Genomic DNA, 6,300 nt, shown 5'->3' with positions numbered 1-6,300 from the left:
GGAAGGCTCAGGGATGGCTAGGGGCACCTCCCTGGAACTGAAGGTTCTGCTCATTTAGTGCAAGCAAAGACTCCAGGCCTTCCAAAGATCTGTTTCTTCAGCCCATCTCCCACCCAGACAATCCCATCCCCCTGCTCGACTTTACATGGAGGGAGAGAAGCCAGTCTTGCAGAGTCCAGGCTGAATGGAGTCCCACAGGCACTGGAAACCTTGGGGCTTCTATGGGGTTAATAAATTGGTTCCTCCATATTCTTTTGCCCACTCCTCTGCAGAATTCGCCCCAGGGCAATAATCACAATAACCATACCACCGCTGCGCTGCACCCAATTTCTGGCCTGAGATGGGAAAGGGAGAGAAGTCAAAGCCTGCAGATGTGAAGCCTCTGATTCCCAAAATGGGTACAAGAATACAACTGTGTGTCTGTGAGCTTTCATGGCTGGGCTTGCGAACAGGTGTGCCAATGTGCGGGGGCCGATTTTCTCTGACAGCAAGTGAATGGTGAGGGACCATGAAACCCCTATGCATTTTCCTATGAACCTGTTGGACAGGCCTCCCCAGTCTGTGCAATCAGGTGTGGCCACCTGGGAACAAGGTGATTGCATGTGATCCTGAGATTCCCTAGGCCAAAGGTAAGGGAAAGCTGCCCCTCAACTTCCCTCCAGAAATTGAGGGTCTGGGAATGAGGTGTGGAGGGTAGAGCCCCTGAGATTTGTAGGACTCACCCTGAGGGCCCCAGGAAGTCCTGAGTGTGGAAAACCCAGGCCACAACACCTTGGGCTGCTCTATGCCATTCCTGGAGCATCTGTGAAGAGCCAAGTGCTTTTACCTGAGTTATCTCCTTAATCCCCTTAATCCAGGTTAATTACAGGTTGGTCCTGTAATATGGGCAAGGAAATTGCAAGATCCTAAAACTTAATGAACTTACTCAAGGCTGGACAGCAGAGAAGCCAGGCTTAACATTTAGGCTGATCTTCAAAGACACTTCAACAGCTGCTTGGGGCTGAAAGAGGGTTTTTGGAAGAGGGCAGGTGCAGAAGGAGAGGGGATCTGGCATCAGAGGAGCAGTGCCAGGAACACGGAAAATAGCAGGACATAAAACACTGGGATTGGTGAGGCCTGTGGCATGTGGACAGTGCATTCTAAAATGTCTTATCAATGCTCTGGGAAAAAGAAAAGCCAAAACAGCCTATCAGAAGGGGATATTATTTGTGTCCCTATTTTTCATTTCTTTAAATAAAATGGAAAAATGCTCTTAAGCAAATAAAACAAGATTACAAGTCATGTTTGGCAGGCAACTTTAAAACCCTAGGATTAGATCTTAGATGTGGGGAAGTAGTTTAAGACCTTGATGCCTGAAGCAGTGTCAACATTACCAAAAGATTATTCTAAATGTGCAATCTCATCAAGATTCATCTCATCAGGCCCCATCAAGATCTAATGAATGAGAATCCACATTTTAACAAGATCCTTGGATGATTTTTGCACACACAAAAGTTTAAGACACTGGCAGGGGCTATTTGTATATAAATGAATACACCTTATATAGTATACAAAAGAGCCTTCCAGGGATGTTCCCCTACCCCCACCTCCCGTATCGTGTAGAAGGTGAGGGAAGGAGGCAAGGCCAAGCTCACCCGCTCGGTTCTTTCTTTCTTTCTTTTTTCTTTCTTTCTTTCTTTCTTTCTTTCTTTCTTTCTTTCTTTCTTTCTTCTTTCTTTCTTTTCTTTCGTTCTTCTTTCTTTCTGACAAGGTCTCACTCTGTCACCCAGGCTGGAGTGTACTGTCATTATCACAGTTCATTGCAGCCTTGACCTCCCAGGCTCAGGCAATCCTCCCACCTCAGCCTTCGGAGTAGCTAGGACTACAGCCGTGTGCCACCATGCCCGGCCTAAATATATAGCTGGGGGGGTCTCATCATGTTGCCCAGGCTGTTCTCGAACTCCTGGGCTCAAGCGATCCTCCCACCTTGGCCTCCCAAAGTGCTGGGACTCTAAGTGTGAGCCACCACGCCTGGCCTGCCATACTCTTTCTTTTTATAGTTTGATTGAATCTTACTAAGAGGTCACCAAGAAAACCTCTGGTAACTCCCTGACCTTCAAGTCTCACCCTCCTACCCACCTCAGCTCACTCCCCGATCCTCCAATCCACAGAGCAGATGGACAAGGAGAGGAAGGATTTTCCTTTCTGGTTCTCTGTTCCTTTGACTAATAAAGTGTGATTCATTGGCTTCTATTTTTAACTTTCTGTCAGTTTGAGTCCTTCCATTTTCTTGACCCAGAGAAGGGAGGGGAAGAGGTGAAAGTGCACGGAACCCCCTTCCAATCCCACAAGGCTTCAAGCCCTGCTGGGAAGACGTAGAGTGTGCGCTTGCAGTCAGTGCGGGGGAAGAGGGGGCGGCCACAGAGGCCTGGCAGAGTGGGGCCTGGAAGCCAGGCGCCTCACGGGGAGGAAGGTTCCAGTAGACTGGATGGGACTGAAGGCGATTTTCCCAGAGCTCTAGAGGACAAACACCCAGCCCCCCTCTAGACTAAGAGCTCCCTCCATAAAGCCAAATCTGACAGGAGTCTGGTAGGGTCTCATCTCCAATTCTCACTAATTCCATGATACTCCAGGACTCGGCCATCCCTCTCAAAGACCGTGGCTCTAGAGTTAGACCTCATGGTTGGAATGCTGGCCTCACTGTTTACCAGCCGCGGGCTCTCAGGCAAGCTGCTCAACCTCCGCCTCCCTGGTTCAGGCGATTCTCCTGCCTCAGCCTCTGGAGTACCTGGGATTACAGGCGCCCGCCGCCACTTCCGGCTAATTTTTGTATTTTTAGTAGAAACGGGGTTTCACCATGTTGGCCAGGCTGATCACGAACTCCTGACCTCAAGTGATCCGCCCGCCTCTGCCTCCCAAACTGCTGAGATTACAGGCGTGAGCCACCGCGCCTGGCCCCTGCTTAGTCTCTTTAAACTTCAATTTTCGTTATGTATAAAGCAGGGATAAAAATACCACTACCTCATAAGGTAGTTGCTAGGCATGAATTAGTACTCTTAAAGCATAGTGCAGTGCCTGGCACCAGCATATGCTCCATAACATTGCTCGCTAGTGTGATTATCATTCGTATTTTCCAACCTAGTCAGTAACAGCCACCCCTGCATTTCCGAGGGTGCCACGGAGAATACAAGCTCCCAGAGCCTCGGCTCGAAGTGCCTTGCTACGCGCGGCCCCTAGAGGGCGCCCAGAACTCACTCGTTCTGGGTTTCTGTGACCAAGTCCCAGGTCCAGCTCCCACTTCTGGGTGGCTGCTGAATCACGGCCGCGGCCTCCAGCTTTTGGGTCTTTTGGCTCTTCTCGCAGCAACCAAAGAAATGTGGGTTCTGGGTCCGTAGGGCATAAAACAGGAGGGGCAGGAGCAGCTCCCACCAAAGCCTTTCCCCAAGGAGGCACACAGTGGCAGGGGGCCCCCCGCACCCCTCACAATCTTCTCGCACACAAGGAGGCCAGATTTCCCCAGGCTTTGGGCAGGCAGTGGCGGCCGCTGGACCTTCTGGGCCTTGCTAGGGTCCTCAGCCAGTATCTAAGGTGGCCGCTGCTATCCCCAAGCTCAGCCTTAGGCACATGGGGTTCCCTTACCACCCGAGCTGCAGGGCTGGAACCTGAAGCCAGCTCCTAAGACAACCCCCACCCCCAGGCCAGCTGGGAATGGAGTTAGATCCTCCTCTGTAGGGGCTGGGGGAGGAGGGAAGGAGAGGAGGGGTGTCCAGGGGTAACCACTTACAGGAGGTGGCCTGGTCAGGTGTGAGCTTGCACCAGCAGTGCAGGCTCTGTGTGTGCCTGGCACAGCACACCTGTAGCTCCCCTCGTGTAACACTGCACACCCTGATTGTTGCATAGTTGAAGGAGGTATGTGAGGTTGTACCCAGCAATGCAGGCTGTGAGTGGGGGCATGTGAATTGTACCCACCCCTCAACAAAATGTAGGTACCCCATCACTCCCTGGAACTCACCCAGCCCTTCCTCACACCCCAACCTGCCACCCCTCACCCCTATCATGCACAGTCTTTGGAGTCTGCTCTGAGCTCCTTGGAAAACCTGACCTGACTCCAGCCTCTGCTCAGCCTGTTCCTATCAGATTCTCCAGGATAAGACATCCAGGTGAGGGTTCCGGGGTGGGAGGGGCCTCCCTGGGCCAACCAGGCCAGAGCTGAATGGGGGCAGAAGGCATTGGATGGGCCCTTTTGAGCCACGCAGGGAACGTGGTGGCAGCTCCTGCCAGTTGCTTGGCAACAGCCTGGCTGTGGAACTTCAAACTCTGAGCTGATCTGGAGGGTCTGGGGGCCCTGGTAGGGAGCAGGACTGGGGGGCTGTGTGGGAGTGACACATAAGTGTGAAAGTGGGCATGAGGGCAGCAGAAGGAGTAAAGCATGAGGGAGGAGGTCTCCTCTGGCACCTGAGCTGAAGGGCCCTCAGGGCAGCCCCAAGGCCGCAGCCTCCCGGTTGCCCTGCAGCCTGGCTGCTGAGTCCCAGCTGCTTCAGCTGGCTAGAGGTCCTTACTTAGTTGTCTCAAGCACCTGAAGCCTACCTTGCCCACCTGCGAGTCACTCGCCCCACAAGCAGGGCACCCATCTGAGTCCTGTGCCCAGGGCAAACCCCACAACTGCCTGGTAGTGGAGCCACGACAGGGCAGTCAGTGCTCAGGAGGTGCCACACAGCCCCCAAGCACAGATGCGGCCACACAAAGCCGCTATTATAGTTAACAGGTTGAGCCAGATTCTCTGTGTGCCACCCACCGCACTGCACAGGGCCTCTAGGACCCCATCCCTGCCTGGGTTCCTGGGGCCCCTCAGGCCGCCACCCACTCAACCAGAGGGCCAGATCTGAGGGGCAGGGCTCGCTGGCCGCAGGAATTTGGTGATTGCCGTCGGTTCTGAAGCCAAAGAAGGAAGCAGACCTCTCCGCGCAGGCAGGTTTGTTAATTCCCCTTCTCTCCCGGCACCTCTGCGAACAATTATTCCGATCGTTCTTTTTCTATTTTTGAACAGAGACGGGTCATTTCCGGCAGGGGAGGTAGAGGGAGAGTTTCGAGCTTTCTGTTGTGAGTAGTTGGCCTTGACTGTGACCCTCGCAGCCCCCCTCCCCTCCAGCCTCCGCCCCACTTGGGACGGAGTTTGCGGGTCCAGCCGCCACACCGGCCTTTCTCCCTGGCCGCGGCGCTCGGCGGACGCGGGATCCGCTGAGATTCCGTCTCAACGAATTCCGGGCGGAGAGGCGGGAGTCCTGCGTGTCCCGCCGCGCCGCGGGTCCCAGCGTCCCCAGGAGTCTGGCATCCCCGGGAGGCCTAGCCCAAGGGCAGGAGAGTCAGCGGGGCCCTACTGAAAGTGCACGACCCGGGCAGCCGGCGGCCGAACAGCTCCGGGAGCAGGCGAGCGGTATCCGGGAAGCTCAAAGGCCGCCCCCCGGACGCCCCAGGCCCCAGCGCTGGGATTGTACCTACCTGCGGAATGTCCTCTTCTGCATGAGTCCGCGTCGAGCTGGGCAGGGTCCGAGAGCTGCCGGGCTGAGGGCTCCGGCCTGCATGTGCTCTCCGCGGTTAGTGAGTGTGAGCCCTGTGATGTTCCTGAAGATGGGGGCTGGGGGGGAGGGAGGGTAGGAGGTGTTTTGGGGGACAGGGGTGTTGGGCCTAACTGTGCTCAAGAGAGGATGGGAGCGGGGGTGGAGAGCCCAGGCTTGGGAGCCAGCTTGGGGCTGCTGTGTTTGGGCCGGCCAGCCGCTCCCCACCTAACCCCTGTTCCTCTGTTAGGCAATCTGTGTCCAGAAAATGCTCGGAGTTCTCCGGACACAGCAGCCTCTAGAGGCGGTCTTGGGGAATTGGGAGGCGGGAAGAAGGCCACAGTCTCCCCTGGGGTCCTGCTGTGTGATCTGCGCCGGCCGGGAAGCATTGATCTTGAGTCCAAAAGAGGAGAGAAATCGCACCCCGAGAAGAAGGCGCGAGCTCGGTGGCTCCAGTCCTGCGGGAGCAGAGGGGACAGCAGACCTGCCCAGGTAGAGGGAGACGACTTCTGAGGTGCTGGAGGCTATTTCTGGATTTTGCGCGGCCTGGCGCTGGGTGCCACAGCCGGTGAATGCGGGAGACCTGCAGCAGACCCGGCGCTGCCGCCAGAACCTGCTCACTACGCTCCACACAGCTCGTCAGGGCCCAACCTGAGCACTCCGCGGGCCTGCGGGGATGGGGCGGAAAGGCTGGCTGCTGTCTTCGGACCCTGAACCCTCCCCTCTTTTTCTCTTTTCTTCATGTCTACACAAAGTGAGTGACAGA

At 55.4% G+C, this 6,300-nt stretch overlaps 1 long non-coding RNA gene across 1 annotated transcript in view, besides 1 other annotated feature; it reads left to right on the top strand.

Annotated features, from left to right (window-relative positions):
- Window positions 2,353–3,157: an enhancer, noted in NCBI's record as "H3K4me1 hESC enhancer chr10:102902239-102903043 (GRCh37/hg19 assembly coordinates)". NCBI's record gives its function as "activates a minimal SCP1, AML or CMV promoter by ChIP-STARR-seq in primed H9 embryonic stem cells {active_cell/tissue: H9 hESC(primed)}" and the evidence as "EXISTENCE:reporter gene assay evidence [ECO:0000049][PMID:30033119]".
- Window positions 4,373–6,300, top strand: part of TLX1NB (TLX1 neighbor) — a 51,946-nt gene continuing 50,018 nt past the window's right edge. The window contains exon 1 of the long non-coding RNA NR_130724.1: window positions 4,373–4,951. This is a non-coding gene — a long non-coding RNA (TLX1 neighbor). The remainder of the gene's footprint in view (window positions 4,952–6,300) is intronic.

This window comes from Homo sapiens, chromosome 10 (genome assembly GCF_000001405.40).
Source record: "Homo sapiens chromosome 10, GRCh38.p14 Primary Assembly".
Classification (NCBI taxonomy): Eukaryota; Metazoa; Chordata; class Mammalia; order Primates; family Hominidae; genus Homo; species Homo sapiens.
This window is presented reverse-complemented; position numbering and strand designations above follow the sequence as displayed.